The sequence below is a fragment of the Homo sapiens genome, chromosome 2 (genome assembly GCF_000001405.40).
Source record: "Homo sapiens chromosome 2, GRCh38.p14 Primary Assembly".
NCBI lineage: Eukaryota > Metazoa > Chordata > Mammalia > Primates > Hominidae > Homo > Homo sapiens.
The window spans coordinates 76607380-76627046 of record NC_000002.12 but is presented as its reverse complement, the minus strand read 5'-3'; the positions used below and the strand labels follow the sequence as shown (position 1 = coordinate 76627046).

At 34.4% G+C, this 19667-nt stretch overlaps 1 annotated feature.

Annotated features, from left to right (window-relative positions):
* Positions 2069 to 2714: an enhancer, noted in NCBI's record as "NANOG-H3K4me1 hESC enhancer chr2:76851459-76852104 (GRCh37/hg19 assembly coordinates)". NCBI's record gives its function as "activates a minimal SCP1, AML or CMV promoter by ChIP-STARR-seq in naive H9 embryonic stem cells {active_cell/tissue: H9 hESC(naive)}" and the evidence as "EXISTENCE:reporter gene assay evidence [ECO:0000049][PMID:30033119]".

Genomic DNA, 19667 nt, shown 5'->3' with positions numbered 1-19667 from the left:
TGAAAAACTATACGGTGACAAACTGGGAAACCTAGAGAAAATGGACAAATTTCTGGACACATACAACCTATCAAGACTGAGTCAGGAAGAAATAAAAAACACAAACAGATGAAAAGTGAGTAGTAAGATTGAATCAATCATAAAATATCTCCCCAAAAAGAAAAGCTCAGAATTAGATGGTTTAATGGCCAAATCTACCAAACTTACAAAGAAGAGCTAATATCATTTCCGCTGAAACCATTTTTAAAAAGGTAAGTGGAGGAAATTCTCCGTAATTCATTGTATTAGGCTAGCATCACCCTGATAGTAAAACCAAAAAAGGACCCAACCACAACCACAACAACAAAAACCCTGAAAACTATGGGCCAAAATCCTTGATGAACATAGATGCAAAGTTTCCCCACAAAATACTAGCAAACTAACTCCAACAGCACATCAAAAAGATATTACACCAGGATCAAGGGGGATTTTTTAAAAAATTTAAAAATCAACAAAAACCATATGATCTTTTCAATAAAGACAAAGTATTTGGTAAAATTCAGCATACCTTCATGATAAAAACTCTCAACAAACTAGGCATAGAAGAAACATACCTCAAAATTATAAAGGACATATACAACACACCCATGACTAACATCATGCTGAATGGAGAAAAGCTGAGACCCTTTTCTCTAAAAACCCGAAAAAGATTTCCCTATAATATCACCACTCCTATTCAACATAGGAAGTCCTAGCCAGAGCAATCAGGAAAGAGAAAGAAGTAAAAGGCTTCCAAATTCGAAAAGAGGAAGTAAAATTGTCCCTATTTGCTGATGATGTGTTCTTATACCTAGAAATACCTCAAGGCTACACCAAGAAACTTTTTATAAATAAATGTAGTAAAGTTGCAGGATATAAAATAAACATACAAAAATCAGTAGCAGTTTTATAAAGCAATAATGATGTAGCTAAGAAAGAAATCAAGAAAGCAATCCCATTACAGTAGCTACAACAATAAACTAAGATAAGAAAAAATAAAATAAAATACCTAGGAATAAATTTATCCAAAAAGGTGAAAGATCTCTACAAGCAAAACTACAAAACACTGACGAAAGAAATTGAAGAGGACACAAATAGAAAAACATCACATGGTCATGAATTGGAAGAATATCATTAAAATGGCTGTATTGCTCAGAGCAACGTGTAGATTCAATGCAATCTCTATCAAAATACAAAGGTTATTCTTCAAAGAATTAAAAGAAAAAAATCCTAAAATGTACATGAATCCAAAAAAGTGCCTGAATAGCCAAAGCAATCTTAAGCAAAAAGCGTAAGTCTGGAGGCAGCACATCACCTGACTTCAAAATGTATCACAAGAGTAGGGGAAAAGATAACCAACTTGTTGCAACCAGGAAGTGCTGCTCCCAATGAGAGGGACCAGGATTTTGATTAAACCAACATAGTTTGAACAGATCTTCAGAGAGAAAATGACAAATTCGTATGGAGAGAAGCTGCAAATGCTGAAACTGAAGAGTGAGAAAGCTGAAAACCCCATTCAGGGTGCTCAAATGCTAGTGCTGGCTCCCAGCCTCAAATAGCTCCTGGGGAATGAGTGAGTAAAGAAACTGGAAGACGGCTCACACTTGCTGGGACCTCTGGAATCTTAGTTGCAGGAGACCGAAACCCACCATGGATGTTTAAGCTGGCAAGGGGATCTTCCTGGAGATTTGACAGAGATGGAGCTTCAACAGGTGTGGAGCTGGGGGCCTTTGTTTATGGCACAGCTGTGGTAAAGGCTGGCCATAGGGACTCATTCCCCACGGCCCCCCAGTTCTCTCTGAGAGGCTCTGGCCACTGATAACCACAGGACCAGGAGAATCAGGGACAATTTCCCAATGGGACTGGGGAATCCCTGTCCTGTGGGCCCATCTACCCACCAGCCCCTCCCAGGGCTCCTGCTGGGCTACCCCAATAGCAGTGTGTACTCAGTGCAGCCTCTGCTGCCCAGCCAGGGTGCTTTGCTACACCTGAGTGAATTCCAGCAGGCTGGGAGACAATTCAGTTCACCCAGGGCACAGGGAACCCAACCCCAATGGTCCAGAGGAGGGAGGCATGAGCAGGTGTTGGTACCCCAGGACTTGGAAATGCTAAGCCAGGATATATGCCTGGCACATGAGCTGGGGAGGAGCCCACACTCTCAGAAAACTGAGAGAGGTGAGTCACAGAGGTTCACAGGCTGTTGGGAGAACTAGGCATGCCTTGCTACACAAGGCTAGTCTGGTAAACATGGGGCATATGTCACTTCCAGATCTCTGCTGAAGGGAGCCCTGCAGCCTAAAACACCTAACAACAACAACAAAATCATGGACACAATACCAATGATTGGAAGTGACTTCCCCAAGGCCCAGGAATGAACCTATTGAGGACTCACTACTTTCCCCCTGGCACCACAGAGCACAGCTGCAAATAAATCCAAGGATACACAAAAGAGCCAAGTGGCTGAGTAAGAGCTTATTTACCACCCATTGCTCTTAAGCACCATCTATTGGACCACATCCTAAACAACAATACCAAACACACACACACACACACACACACACACACACACACACACACACAAAACAGACAAAAAAACATTGCTAATTCTCTCTCCTGCAAGGCCAAGGTCAAAAATTCTACAAGAAACACCCTGTACAGAGCCTAAGTCCTCTGAAAACTTTCAGAAATGAAACCAACTGACTATATTCAATTTAAACCACAGCTAAAGGAACACTGACACTACCAGATGAGAAAAAAAAAATAGTGCAAGAACTCTATCAATTCAAAAAGCCAGAGGTTACCCTTACCTCCAAACAAGAATACTAGTCCTCTAGCAATAGTTGTTAACCAATCTGAAATGACTGAAATGACAGACATGGAATTTAGAATCTGGATGGCAAGGAAGCTCATTGAGATCCATGAGAAAGTAGAAATTCAATCCAAGAAAGCCAAGCAATCCAGTAAAACAACTCAAGAGCTGAAAGGTGAAATAGCCATTTTAAGAAAGACTCAAACTGACCTCATCAAGTTGAATAATTCATACAATAATTTCATAATACTATCGAAAGATTAACAGCAGAATAGACCAAGCTGAGGAAATAATCCTAGAGCTCAAAGATTGGTTCTCAGAATCCACTCAGTGAGAAAAAGTAAAGAAAAAAGAACTAAAAAAATGAACAAAACTTCTGAGAAATACTGGATTGTATAAAGAGATGAAATCTACAACTGATTGGCATTCCTAAGAGAGGAGAGAGAATAAGCAACTTAGAAAATATATTTGAGGATATAGTCCATGAAAAGTTCTCCAATTTTGCTAGAGAGGTTGACATGAAAGTTCAAGTAATGCAGAGAACCCCAGCTATATACTATACAAGATGACCATCCCCGAAGCACATAGTTATTAAATTCACTAAGATTAATGCAAAAGAAAAAATCTTAAAGGCAGCTAAAGAGAAAGGTCAGGTTACATACAGAGGGACTCCCATCAGGCTGGCAGCAGAGTTCTCAGCAGAAACCTTACAAGCCAGAAGAGATTCAGAGTTGATTTTCTGCGTCCTTAAAGGAAAGAAATTCTAACCAAGAATTTCATACCCCAATAAACTATGCTTCACAACTGAAGGAGAAATAAAATTCTCCCAGACAAGCAAAAGTTCAGGAAACCTGAATCAACTAGATCTTTCTCACAAGAGATCCTTAAGAGAGTGCTAAATATGGAATTGAAAGAACACCTGTTACCACAAATACTCACACACACAGCCTACAGACACTAAAAAGCAATTACACAACCAGGTTTACATTACAATCAACTAAAAACACAATGGCAGGACTAAAATCTCACAAATCAATACTAATCCTTAATGTAAATGGGCTAAATACACCACTTAAAAGACACAGAATGGAAAGCTGCATAAAAGAAAGACTCAACTGTCTGCTGTCTTCAACAGACCATCTCGCACATAATGACACCCACAGGCTGAAAGTAATCAGTTGGAGAAAGTTCTACCATGCAAATGGAAAACAAAAAAGAGAAGTTGCTATTCTTATATCGCACAAAATAGACATTAAACCTTTAACAATTAAGGAGGACAAAAAAGGACATTGCATAATGATAAAGGGTACAATACAACAAGAAGATATAATTATCCTAAATATATATGTACCCAACATTGAAGCATTCAGATTCATAAAACAAATCCCTCTTAACCTATAAAAATACTTAGAGATTCACACAAGTAAGAGTGGAAGACATAAACAGCCCCACTGACAGCATTAGACAAATCATCAAGGCAGAAAACTAACAAAGAGACTCAGGACTTAAACCCAACATTTGGTCAAATGAACCTGGGAGACATCTACAGAACACTACACCTGACAATGACAGAATACACATTCTTCTCACCTACCCACAGAAAATATTCCAAGATCAACCATATACTAGGTCAGAAAGCAAGTCTTGGTAAGTTCAAAAAAATCAAAATTATACCAAGCGCACTCTCAGATCACAGTGAAATAAAGATAGAAACTAATATCAAGAAGATCTCTGAAAACTACACAAATACATAGAAATTAAACAATTTACTCTTGAATAATTATTGGGTAAAGATTGAAACTAAGATAAAAATCAAAAAATTCTTTGAAATTAATGAAAATAGGGACACAACTTACCAAAATCATTGTATACAGCAAAAGCTGTGTTAAGATGAAAGCTTATAGCCCTAAATACCTTCATCAAGAAGTTAGAAAGATCTCAAATTAATACTTCAACTTTGCACCTAGAAAGAAAAAGAACAAACCACCCCAAAGCTAGCAGAAGAAAAGAGAGCTAAAATTAGAGAACTGAATGGAATTGAAATGCAAAAACCCATACAACAAAAGCAATAAAACACAAAAGTTGTTTATTTAAAATAATAAATTGATAACCCCTAGCTAGATTAACAAAGGAAAAGGAAGAGAAGACCCAAATAAGCACAATCAGAAATAATAAAATCAGTCTTACAACTGATCCCACTGAAATACAAAGATCCTCAGAGACTATTATGAAGAATGCTTTCCACACAAATTAGAAAATCTAGATAAAATAGGTAAATTTCTGGAAGCACACAGTATCCCAAGATAGAATCAGGGAGAGATTAAAACCTTAAATACACCAATATCAACACCTAAAATTGAATCAGTAATAAAGAATCTATCAACCGAAAAATGCCCTGGACCAGATGGATTCACAGCAAAATTCTACCAGACCTACAAAGAAGAACTAATACCAATCCTACTGAAAGTATTCCAAAACATTGAGGAGGAAGGGCTCCTCCCTAACGCATTTTATGAAGCTAACTTCCATCTGATACCAAAATCTGGCAGAGATACAATGAAAAAAGAAAATTTTAGGCCAATATCTTTAGTGAACATAGACACCAAAATTATCAACAAAATATTAGCAATCCAAATTCAGCACCACATTAAAAAGTTAATATATCACAATCAAGTAGGCTTTATTCCAGGGATGCAAGGTTGGTTCAACATATGCGATTCAATAAATGTGATTTAGCATATAAACAGATTCAAAAGCAAAAATCATATGACAATCTTAATAGATGCAGAAAAAAGCGTTCAACAAAATCCAACATCTCTTTGTGATAAAAACTCTCAATAGACTAGTCATTGAAGGAACATAACTCAAAATAGTAAGAGCCATCTATGACAAACCTACAGCCAACATTATACTGAATGGACCAAAGCTCGAACCACTCCCCTTGAGAACTGGAACAAGACAAGGGGATGCCCCCTGTCAACATTCCTATTTGTCATAGTAATGAAAGTCCTAGCAAGGGCAATCAGGCAAGAGAAAGAAATAAAAGCATCCAAACAGGAAAAAAGAAGCCAAAGTATCTGTCTTTACTGATGATATGATTCTATACCTGGAAAATCCTAAAGACTCTGTCAAAAGTTTCCTAGAACTGATAAATAACATGTTTCAAAATACAAAACCAACTTACAAAAATCAGTAATATTCCTGTACACCAATTACATCCAGGCTGAGAGGCAAATTAAGAACACAATCCCACTTTCAGTAGCCATAAACAAAATGAAATACCTAGAAATACAGCAAAGAAGGTGAAAGATCTCTACAAGGAGAACTAAAAAACACTGTTGAAAAAAATCAGAGATAACACAAATAATTTGAAAAACATTCCACGCTCATGAATTAGAAGTATTAATATCTTAAAAATGACCATACTACACAAAGCAATCTACAGATTCAACACTATTTCTATCAAACTACCATCTTTCTTCACATAATTAGAAAGAACTATTCTAAAATGTATATGGAACCAAAAAACAGTTTGAATAGAAAAAGCAATCTTAAGCAAAAGGAACAAAGCCAAAGGCATCACATTACCTGACTTCAAACTATACTATAACGCTCAAGCAACCCAGAGAGCATGGTGCTAGTACAAAAACAGTCACATAGACCAATGAAACAGAATAGAAAACTCAGAGATAAAACTACAAGCCTATCATGTGAACTTCAACAAGGCCAACAAAAACAAGCAATGGGGAAAGGACTCTCCATTCGGTAAATGATGCTGGGATAACTGGCTAGCAACATGCAGAAGATTGAAGCTTGACTCCTCTCATTCACCGTATACAAAAATTAATTAAAAATAGATCAAAGATTTGAATGTAAGACCTCAAACTAAAAATCCCGGAAGACAACCTAGGAAATTATCTTCTTGGCATCAGCCCTGCCAAAGAATTATTGGCTAACTCCGCAAAAACAATTGCGGCAAAACCAAAAATTGACAAGTGGGACCTAATTAAACTAAAGAGCTTCTGCACAGCAAAAGCAACTATCAATAAACAGACAATTTACAGAATGGGAAAAGATATTCACAAACTATGCATCTGACAAAGGCTCAATATCCAGAATCTAAAGGAAACTTATATAAACCTACAAGCAAAAACCAAATAACCACATTAAAAAATGAGCAAAGGACATGAACAGACACTTCTCAAAAGACATACAAGCAGCCAACAAACATGAACAAATGCAGGCTGAAATACTACCTATCAAGTGCTATGCTCACTCCCGGGGTGACAGGATTCATACCCCCAAACCTCAGCATCATAAAATGTTTCCATGTAAAAAACCATGTAGAAAACCTTTTTTTCTAAAATAAAAGTTGACATTTTATAGAAATAAATTTATAAATATTTGTATGTATACTACAAGGCTATAGTATACAAAACAGTATGGTTTGGATATAAAAAGAGACACATAGATCAACGTAAAAGAATAGAGAACCCATAAATAAAGACGCTAACTTACAGCCAACAAATCTTTGACAAAGCTGACAAGAACTTACAATGGGGAAAGAAAATATTCCATAAGTGGTGCTGAGGAAATTGTATATCCATATGCAGAAGAATGACATTAAACCCCATCTCTCGCCACATACTAAAATCAACTAAAAATGGATTAGACTTACACATAAGACCTGAAACCATAACAATGATAGAAGAAAACCTAGGGAAAATTCTGCTGGACACTGGTATAGGCAAATAATTTGTGACTAATACCCTAAAAGCACAGGCAACAAAAAGAGAAATAGACAAATGGGAATTAAAAAAAACAAAACAAAACAAAAAAAAACAAAACAGCTTCCACACAGGAAAATAATCAACAGAGTAAAGAGACAACTTGTTGAATGGGAGAAAATATTTGCTCACTATGTATCCAAGAGGGAATAAATATCCAAAATATACAAGGAACACCACAACAGGAAAAAAAAGCCAAATAACCCCATTAAAAAGTGGGCAAAAGACAGAATATGAACAGGCAGTTCTCTAAAGACATACAAATGAGCAACAGAAATATGAAAAATGCTTAACATGACTAATCATCTGAGAAATGCAAATAAAAACCACAACATGACATTATCTTACCCAGGTCAGAATGGCTATTATTAAAAGGATAAAAAATTATTGATGTTGCCAAGAATGAATAGAAAAGGGAATTATTATACACTGTTTTTGGAAATGTAAACTAGTACTGCCACAATAAAAAAGCATAATGATTTCAAAAAAACAAAAAAACCTCAAGACAGAATGACCATTTGATCTAGGATTCCCACTACCAGCTATCTACCAAAAGGAAAAGGAAAATAAATCATTATATCAAAGAGAGACCTGCACTTACATGTTTATTGCAGTACTATTCACAATCACAAAGATATGGAATCTACATAAATGTCCATTAATGGATGAATGAACAAAGAATGGAATACTATTCATCAACAAAAAATAATGAAATTATGTCATTTGCAGTACATGGGTGGAATTAGAGAACATTATCTTTTTTCTTTTTTGAGACAGAGTCTTGCTCTGTCACCCAGGCTGGAGTGCAGTGGTGTGATCACAGCTTACTGCAGTCTTAACCTCCTGAGCTCAATTGATCCTCCCACCTCAGCCTCCTGAGTAGCTGGGACTACAGGCACATGATATTACATCTGGCTAATTTTTGCATTTCTTTTGTAGAGATGAGGTTTTGCCATGTTGCCCAGGTTGATCATAAACTTTTGGGCTCAAGTGATCTGCCCATTTTGGCCGCCCAAATGGCTGTGATTTACAGGTGTGAGCCATTGTGCCCAGCTGAGAAAATTATCTTAAGTGAAATAACCAAGGCACAAGAAGACAAATATTGCAGTCCTCTCTTATACATGTGAGCTAAAAACTTGGATCACATGGAGGTAGAGTGTGGAAAAACATAACAGAGACGGGAAGGGTGAGTAGGTATGAGAGGGGAAGGTGAAGAGAAATGGGTTAAAAGGTATAAGCATACATTAAGATAGAAAGAATAAATTCAATGTTTCAAAGCATAGAACGGCGATTAATAAAAATTTATTGTACTTGGGAAATGGGTACCCTAAATACCTCACTTGATCACTATGCATTATATATGCATTATATATGTAACAAAATTTCACATGGTCCTCATACATGTGTACAACTCGAGATAAGTAAATAAATAAATATATGTGTATGAGAGAGAAAATCATAAAAATAAATGTAAATATTTGTACTTACAAGTATTAAAACTCTACTAAATGGCACATGTTCACAGAGAAAACATAATGAGAATTCAAGTCTCTCACAGCTATCTAGCACAGTACATTGCAATAGAATTTAATAATGATATAACAAGGTCTTGGGAAGTGCTTATAGCCTGTTCCATGTTTTGACTTTGGCAGTGGGAATCACCCATCATGCTGCTGTTGATTGGCTCTCCTTTTTGTTTGGTTTTTCATGGCGCTCCTTAATTTCTACATTTTTTAAAGAAATTTTTCTTGATATATTAACTCTTTCATCTGAATTTCTAAAATTTTGTCTTTTACTACTTTTAGTCCTTAGTTTCTAGCATTTATTAATTATATGAGGTTTTTTGTTTGTTTGTTTGTTTGTTTGTTTTCCCTTCCTTGATTTGGACTCATTGAGATCAGGGCTATGTCTTATACCTTCTCTTAATCATCAACAATTGTGAGCAACAATTTTGAAATAAGCATGAAAATTAAAAGATTTGATTCCTTATTAGGATTGCAAAGTTTGTGACAAAGTTGCTATTTTGGATGTAAAGGGAAAAATAGACAAATGCCAACATCCTTTTTCTGCATTATCTGCTCTAATAACACTTCGAAAGGTAATCATTGAGTCTTTTTTAGGTCTGGGGCACAATTAAGTCAGGACTTTTTGATATAATCATGTTTCTTATCTCATAAGATGTCACACAGTGTGAAAATCCAAAATAGACTTGGTTTCATGCACGAGTCAAAATTTGAGATTAATTTTGCAGGCCTCTAGTACATCTAAAATACAAATTTAGTACACAAGTAACCTTGGAAACTGGATTAAAGATCATGTGTTAGTAAAACAAGATTAACCTATTTTCACTTTATCAGAGATTTTCTACACTATCCAATAGTTATTTTTAATTGAATGTAGCTATTAGGCAATTGAATGTGTCACAGAAATCCTACAAACGTGCAAGTTTTTCCCAAATCTTACCAAGCAGAGCTTGATAAATAGAAAAAGACTGGGAAGTTGGCTAATAAAAATCCCCATACTTTAAAATGAGTAGCTGACAAGAAATCCAAGCAGCAATGGCAATAACTATGTGAAATAATTTTTTCTGGCTCTGCTGTAAATGCTGTAGTTCACTATTAAAATAAAAGTATTTTTCTGGAGACTAGTTCAAGGAAAAAAGAAACTTGTGCTAAGGGGAACATTTAGTATTAGGACGAATGGTGTGCCTTATGTTAGCAATTTATATCTGCAGGTCTTCTAAAAGAAATAAAACAGTTCAAACTATAATGTTCTGAAATGTAGAAGAGTAGTTCAGTGGTAGTTCAAGTTCTTTTGACCTCACTGGAGACATCCCAGAATCTGACAGTAAACTTGGTGGCTTCGAAGGGAAGTGATCTGGAGGTAGTAATGAATGGTAATGAATGACAAAATTTAAGAAATTCTTCCGTATGTAGATTTTAATCTTCATGTATGTTTTGGATCTGGTGCTAATTTTCATTTACTAAAAACATGAAACATAGTACATATGGTAATTTTAACATATAGTGATATACAAGTTACTAGAAAGTAATGGAGAGATAATTTCTAGAAACTACATTTAGACTTACTGAGTTCTTAATTATGGTAGTCATCAAGAGGTTTTTGTTGTTGTTGTTGTTGTTGTTTTGGTATTTTTGTTGTTGTTGTTTGAGACAGGACCTCACTCCCATTGTCCAGGGTGGAGTGCAGTGGCGTGATCACAGCTCACTGCAGTCTTGACTTCCTAGGTTCAGGTGACTTCCTCACCTCAGCCTCCCAGGTACCTGGAACTACAGGGGTGCACCATGATGCGTGGCTAAGTTTTTCAGTTTTTAGTAGAGATGAGGTTTCTCCATGTTTCCCAGACTGATCTGGAACTCCTGGGCTCAAGCAATCCACCGCCTGGGCCTCCCAAAGTGCTGGGATTACAGGTGTGAGCCACTGCTCCCAGCCTCAAGGGATTTGTTTAATGAAATTAATATGTACCTTAATATATAAATCATATATAGATGGATTTAGTATATTATAAAACATATTAAAAATAATTTAAAAGTTAATTTTATTATATAAACTAAATAAACTAAAAGTTAATTTTTATAGTATGTCTTTTTTCTCACAGACTTTTAAAATATGCAGGTAGTTTCCAAAATAGAATTGAGGAATTTGGGTTGTACTGAGCTAAAACTGGGAGAGATGATCTATAAGCTATCTATTATTTTACAATGGAAAATTGTGTCTGACGCTAATAAAATAATTTATTTAGGATTCTCTTTACAGTCTTTCCCTGTCTCCACGTTTGTTGTAATTTGAAATATTGAAAGCTGAGGGTAAAAATTGAAGGAGGTTTGCTAATGTCAGTATGTGGCAACAACAAGCAGATTATGGGCCCGGTTAGTAATTCTGGAAGTAGAGTTTTGAATGCTCTTCAAGTTTGATTACCCAGCAGTTAGTGGGAGATGCCATAAATTGGGCATAGAAAACAGCTGAGAGTAGGAAAAGGGAAGATTAGGACCTGGGGAAACAGCCAAGCTGGCCATAGATAAAAAAAGGGAAGCTGATCTTATTGATTTGGCTGAACAGCATTACTCTCCCCAAACATCATTTATCTTTTAACAAACATGTATTTGTGCTTTTTCTTGCATCTCAGCTTAAATCATAAAAAGAGAATGGCAACTTATAAACCCAGGGCTGGTGTGTAATATTTATTGAGCATGGATGTGAAGAATATTTTACTGGGTGTGCAGTATCCGAGGTTTAACTAGAAAGCAAGGGGGTTCTTGGGAGCAATGAATGAGCCTGACATTCATACTAGGAAATTTAAATTCCCATCTGGTCAAAGGGCAGATTTTTTAAGCTCTCTTGCATGTGGTTTTCTGCTGGCCACTTGAGTAAAGATTTACTTAGAGACTGAGGTCGTAATAAGTTTGGATGGAAAACATCAGTGGATCCAGCTGTGCAAAGGTAAGAAGAAGGAACTGACAATAATTTTGCCTCTGTTATCAACCTCAATAAATCACACAGGGTATAAGCGTTTGTTATTTTTAGATAGATAACCAGGGACAACCAGAAATAATAAGGAGGTAGCAATAGAACGGAGTTCCTGAAATAGAAGGTAGAAAATAAAAAAAAAAAAAAAAGGTATAGATGCTAATGTGGCCCTATTTAAAATGCTGTGCTACTGGGGAAAAAGTAATTAGGACTTACACAAATTCAGTCAAAGAATCTCAAGAGAGTTTGGACTCCAGGAAAAAGAAATACCTAACTTCATCTAGGTAAGTAAAGGAGTTTTACTAGGGATAATATTTGAAGTACTAAATAGTTGAGAAATGGGAAGAGACTCCCTAACAGAAAAATAGCAAGTGAAAAGAAAAATATGTGGAGACGTAAGAGAGCATGGCCAATTCTGAAATTGGAAGATTCAATACAGGTTAGAATTTAGAAGCGTAGGTATGATGTTCATGGAAGGAAAATGTAATGGAAAAGATTGGATCATGGAGGACTTTGCATGTCGTGGTAAGGCACATAGAACTAATTTTGTAAAGAAGGGCTATATATAGGATTGTTTTAGTAGATATATCATCTAATTGTGTTTGCATTTGGTAATAAGGTTGGTTCTAAACCTGGAGCCCAATTAGGGAGTAATTATAAAAATTCAGGTGGGAAATAATAAGGATTTGAGCTAAGATATTAATAGTTAAGATTAATCTTAGTGACTACTTAATGACTTAATATAAATGATGATGACAAACTAAGGCAATGATTATAAAAATTTAAAGGAAGAAAGACAATGAATTAGATAAGGTGATCCATTGGATGGAGCTGAGGAAGGTGTCTAACATTCATCCACTTTAATGGCTTGGGTAAGTGTTGATGAAAATAACCAGATTTTTAGGTACAAAAAGATATTTGTTTTCTTTTAATATATGAGTTTGGATTTTTAAAATAGGTCTTATTTGGAAAAACATATTTGAGGTTCAATAACATATAACTGAGTAAAAGGTTTAAAAAGACATTTTTGACATTTTTCATACTTTATTTTTTAGGTTCTAAGTATAAACTCTTTGTATTGTGTGTGTGTGTTTATAATTAGTGCTCATCTAAGATTTAATTTTTTGAGTGTTGGAGAAAGAATCACATAAAAAAAGAGGTTTATTTATAAGGTTGGTATTCCCTCCGGAATGAAAGAGAAGACATGTTTTCCATTTCTTCAAGGACTTGATATTACTAGGGATAATGGTAGCTGTGAAATCTCCAAGGGAGAGATGAGATTCTGAAAATCAAATACATTACTTTCAATTTGCATTATTCCCATGAGGTGATCCCTACAGTGCCTGATGCAAAGGAGTATGGTAAGAACTTGCAGCTGCTTTTAGGAATCTACCAGCAGGAAGCCCTCAGCAGCTATTTGTAGGCTACTGTCTGCAATGCTTTAAATCTCTACCACCTCCTTAGGAAAGCATTTCCAAAAACTCAAGAGAAGCTGGGCTTCCCCCAACCTCCTGCAGCACTCCTTATATTCTCCTGTCAGTAATTATCTCAATGGGACCCAGTTTTCTGATTGTATGTCTAGTCTCTGTCCTCTGTCTGGCTCAGAGCTCTTCCTTGTTGGGGACACTCTTATTGCCTTCACAATTTCTAGCTTCCAGTAGAGTGTCTAGCAAATATATTAGGTTCTTCTTAAAATTTGTTTGATTTGTGAATGGAGAGTGAAACTCCATGAAAGAATAGCCAGAATCCCATCTACTTTTGAGGAGAGAAATAACACTTCTCAGAGGGTCAGACTGGCTTTAATTTCCAGCATTGCCAGAAACACCCCAGCGCTCTTCAAACTTCACTTTTCTCACTCAATAAAGGTAAAATAACCTGCTTTTCCAAAAAAACAAACAAACAAAAAAACACACTTACTCTGATGTTTAATTAAACTCGTGTCTGCAGCACATGTGGTTGTGAAAGTTGTTAGAATCAAAATGGAGTCACTTGTGTCAAATCCTGACAAGTAGAGCCAAGGAAAGTTGTGATGGGAGGGTTTTCATGCATATATGCCTGATAAGAACTATCACAAAAGACTATGCAAAAACCACAATCTTGCACAAAGGCCACTGCAACCTTACACAGAAAATACTTCTGCAAGGATGCCTGTCTAGCAGCTAACTGTCCTATCTTGGACTGAGGCCACCCTTGCTATTGATTCTGGTAGCCAAGGATAATTGATTCAGAACAACTTACGTAATCTTCCTCGTGTTGCCTTTAAAAGCTTTCAATTGCCTCAACCTCTTTGAACACACACATAATTTACTATGGCACATGTATTCCCATTGCAATACCACTCTCAAATAAATTTCATTTTAAGACAGTCTCCTGTTATTTAGTTCGATATGGGAAATAGTAACAACGCAACAAAATCTAATTCCTTTTTGTTTTCCTATTCTGCTCTTTACCAGAATCTCAACTTCAGTTCCACACATGAATTCATAGTGCCCCAGATACATGTGTTTCTAGGTATGGTACGTGGGATAGTATGGTACTTGAAAATTTGTTTTTACACCTTTTAGTGCTTTCTCCTTTGTCCTTGTTGACATATGCATAATCTCTAACCAGAATAAACATAATAAAAATAAGTTGTAATGAACTCTAACATGATGACTTCTATAAGTGGCTCATGTGACAATGAATCTGACACTATATATAAATTGAGAAATTATAAGAAATAAAAAGGATGAGAAATTCATTAAATACAATATTTACACATTAACTATGGCATGCTCTAAAACCTTCCAAGACTTTAATATTATTATACTGTTACATGAATCTTTGTTAAATGCCTACCAGAAACCCACATTATCACTTTATTATATTTTTTGTTTGCCTTGATTTCTTAAATGACAATTAGTCAAAATCTAATGTATTAAAGGAGTGACATGAACATGCAGCCTTAGAATATTCCCTTATTACCAAGCAGCCTCTGAAGGCCAATTACTTCGTTCTTATGTTAGCCTTCTACTTCCTCACTGTGAATCCTTGGGCACTTAACCTAGCTTCAATTTTCCCAGACATTAAATATATAGCATAATTCTTTATAGAGTCTGTGTTACAAGTAACTAAGATAACAGACGTAAGGAGTGCCTGGCACATAGACGATGCCTAATAATTAATATACTTCTATCATCTCAAATATAATATTGAATTCTACATATACTTAGTGCCTTGCTTTTTTATAAGTTTTTGTATTATGAATGTGTCTTCATGTTAATATTGTTCTACAATATAATTCTAAATTCTGCATGTTATTTAACACTACACACCATAATTTAACTAACCAATATCCTGCTATTGAGCATTTAGTTTTTTCCATTTTATGAGTCATATCTACCTATCTATACAAAGCACTTTCATGAACATCTTTTTACAGACATTTTTGCACACATCCCTCATAATTTGCTTAGAATATATGTTTAGCATATGAGTTAGTAGGGAAAAGGTATGAATATTGTCAGGATATTTGCTGTCTCAACAGGAGTTTCTCTTTCCTTATTTTTTTCTGTAAAGCACCAGATACCCTTGAGCATATGCTGCTACTATTTTGAATTAGATTAAATCACACTCATTTTTAGTTGATTATTGCTGCATATTGAACATCTGTTGCATTCATGTTTTATCCAGACACCTTATTGACCTCTGTTATTATTACTGTTACAAAATACAATCATCGGTTGCCCAATTCTGACAATGTGACAAACATAACTTGAATATCCTTCAGACATAAACACTATAAACACTTAGAAATGCTGTATGAGTGTTTTTTTAAGTTAATGAGTATAAGAACAACTTGCAAAAAAACAAAGAAAAATTCTCAGGTACCAGAAATAAAGAACTTAAAATGACTGCAATTGCATTAGAATGGAGTTTGAGGGGATTCCTGATCCTGGCAATGTAGGCCTGAGTTTTAATATCCAGGCAGGTAAAATAATAATAATAATAATAATACCTTCAAACTGAGTGAATTGTGGAGTTGGAATTAAGGCCCTTATATGTGTTTGGGACTATCAGAAAGCCTGCATGCATCTTATTTGAACAAATGATATTGAAAATTTTTACTTACCTACACTCGGAGACTGTGTTATTGTAGAGAAAATATTTTGATATCTGCATGGTTAAGGCCTTCTGAACAGAGAAACCTAAAACATGGTTAAAGGGCAGGCCTTGGAATTTAAAACATGATTTCCATCTCTCTGGAGGAGAAAGTTTTCTCCCCGGAGGCATTATTGCTAAGGAGAATGATACCTGGAGCTATCATTTAAATTCCAAAGGATTTACTTACAATAGACAAAGAGGGTTTCCCCCCTCCTTTTCTTGGAGAGGACGAAGAAGTTCTATGACATGTGTCTTATATAAACTCCCAAATTTATATTTCAAGATTCCTCAACCCTACTGCATAACTCAAGAAAAAGGAAGAATTGAAACTGATGCAGTTATTTCTCTAATAAAGATAATCTGTTTGAAGAAACTTTGTTCAATCTCAGATACAAATATAAATATTAAAAAATTATGAGAGATGACAAAAATGTTGCATATATTTGCTTGAGCTCTTGATGTAGAAAAGTCTTCTATGAGAATTTAAAACCTCTAGCATATAACTTAACGAAATTTGGTGTTCCAGTTCATGCAACCTGAGTGGACCTGGAACTTTTAATCTGAGAAATTGATATAGATAGTGATATTAAACCAAACCGATCATGTAAGCATTGATTTGCAGAAAGCAATAAAAATCACTCTAGAGAGATCATCCTGAGGCACAAGGAATTCTAAAACAAAGAAATAAAAGCCCTATAAATGTGAATTTATCATCAGAATTTACACAGTACACAAGAAAGTAATAAACTGGTATAGTAAGCAAATCTTAAACATCAATAATTGAAAGGATCAATATCAGGTAATGAAAAAATAATCTAAAATATAATAAAAATATCTTTTTACAATGGTTAAGAAACTAAGTGTTGGAATCTTGTTTTTTTTTTAAATAAAAGAGTGGTTAGATTTTTAAAAGAGCTAAACCATATCTACATATTTTAAAGATTATAAAGAAACCCAAAAAGCCAGTAGATGAGTTCTACAGTAGATTGGACATTTACATGGATAGAACTCATCAAATCCAAGTTAGATATGAAGAAATTGTAAAGAATGGAGCAGTAAAAATGCTACAAAATAAAAGACAAAGTGAAAAGATCCTACCTGTGAATAATAGGATTTAGAGAAATAGATAAAGAAATTGGGGAAAAGAAGCAATAGAATTTGTACTTGCTGAGAATTTTCCTAAATTGGTGAAAAGTTTTTTAAAAAATCTTAAGCAAAATAATTAAAAATAAATCTCAACTTAGATACATAACAATGAACCTGAAGGACCAAGCCCAATCTTAAAAGCAACCAGAGAATTACTTACAAACCATAAAAACTTGTTGGATATAAATCTACATACAGTGAAAGAAACCCTGATGCTGGGAGGAGGAAAACCGAGGTCAATGAACGGGACACCGAGACCTTTATGGGGTGATGGAAATTCCTATACCTTGATTATCAAAACCCATTAAACAGTATGTATATTATTTACATTAACAAATTGACTCCCAATAACAACATGAATGAATCTCAAAATGTAATGTATAAATGACTCTACCTAAAAAAAAAAGCAAATGTAGTTAAGTTATAAAAAATGCAAACCATATTATCTGTTGTTAAGATACACATATATGTTGGAAAATACAAAACCATGGATAAGAAATACTCAAATCAATTTCAAGATAGTAATACTAATTTGGAAGTAGGGGAAGGGAAAGTGTCCACATAATTTAGGGGTGGAGCTTTAGTTTTACCTGTAATTTTTCATTCATATTTTTATAGATAAGAAATAAGATGACTACATGGCAAAATTTTATAACTATTACATTTTGGTAGTCCATATAATGGAGTTGTATTATCATCAACATATTTTGAATATTTTGTAATTAAAATTTTAAAAACAAAGTAACATTATCTGCAAATAGTGTCACTTTTGACTATTTTAGAATATTCAGAGTTTCTAATTACTGTCTCATTGCAAACCCCGAAACAGTCCTAAAGTCCTAAATAAAGTTGTGCTATTCATGTCCTGTTTTCTAGTTGTAATGAGAATGCTTCTGGTGTTTCCTAGTCCATATGATAGCTCAGCATATTTCTGGCTATTATAATTATTACATATACATTTATTTTTATTTTGGTATTAAGAAAAATTATCCTTATAGTATATTAATCAATGAGATTTGTTAAAATTTTTTGGTAATAAATACTGAATCCTATCAATTGCTCTTCTGTCATGTAAACGTTATAAACAATATAGTGTAGTTTCTAGATCAGAGGCAGACTTCCCTCACTGAAGCTTCATTCAGCTTCACCACACGACTGAGCAATTTACTTGCTCTATGCCTCAGTTTGCTTACATACTTTTTCTACCCACTTCACTGGTAGATGTGGGAATTAACTAGATTAAGCGTCTAGTACAGTGCCTGATAAATAGTAAGCAATGAATAAAATCCTAGCTATTGTTACTTTATATGTATTTTTCCTCCACTTACTGATGATGAAGAGTCATTCAGATAATGTTTATTGAGCAATTGATATAAAATACATACTATTATAGTCACTGGGGATGAAATAATATACAAAGGCAAAATCTCTCTTCTCTCATATAATTTACATAATAAATTCTGTTGGTGTATTTCTTATTATTAGACTCTTTTCCCACTCCCAGAATGAATCTCACTAGTTTATATGTAAGCTTTTTTGGTTAACATAGTTAGTATTTTTGACTCTGTATGCAAAACCAACATTAATTTCCTTGTGTGTCTGTTCTTTCTCAGGTTATATAAGTTTTATAAAATGATTTTAGAGACTCTTAAGATTTTTTAAATCCCTAAGCAGTTAAAATAGAACATAAATGAATTTTCCTAAAACCTAGTATGAAAACTATTTGCATGAGATTACTCTTTTCTGCTTAGTTCTTTGACAACTCTTTCAGTTTCTTGCATTATTATTTAGCTATTACTATTGTACTTAAATTATCCTAACTGTTCGTGAACAATATTTTAAAATTGTAAGTTCCTTCAAAATAGTATAGTTTATTATGGTTTTCAAATTAGCACATTAGAATTATGTTTTAAAAATCACATCTATATCAGTGTTAATATATTCTTTTTTCATACATAATATTTTAAAATTTTGTCTTCCTTCTTGGTGGTGAGTGAACTTATCTGAGTTTGTCTATTTTATTATTTTTTAAATAAATTTGTCTTCCCTTTATCAATTCTCCTTTTTCTATAATTGAATAAACTACATGCTAATTTTATCTTTATCATCAATTACATCCTCCAACATTTATTCCATTTAGCTTATTATACTTTCTTCTTATTACGTTTTCTTGTTTAAATTTTTTGGCTATTAGTTGACATTACACCTTTGCTAATGTGATGTTACTTTTAATAAATGTTATTATTATTAATAATAGTTTGTAATTACTTTGAAAT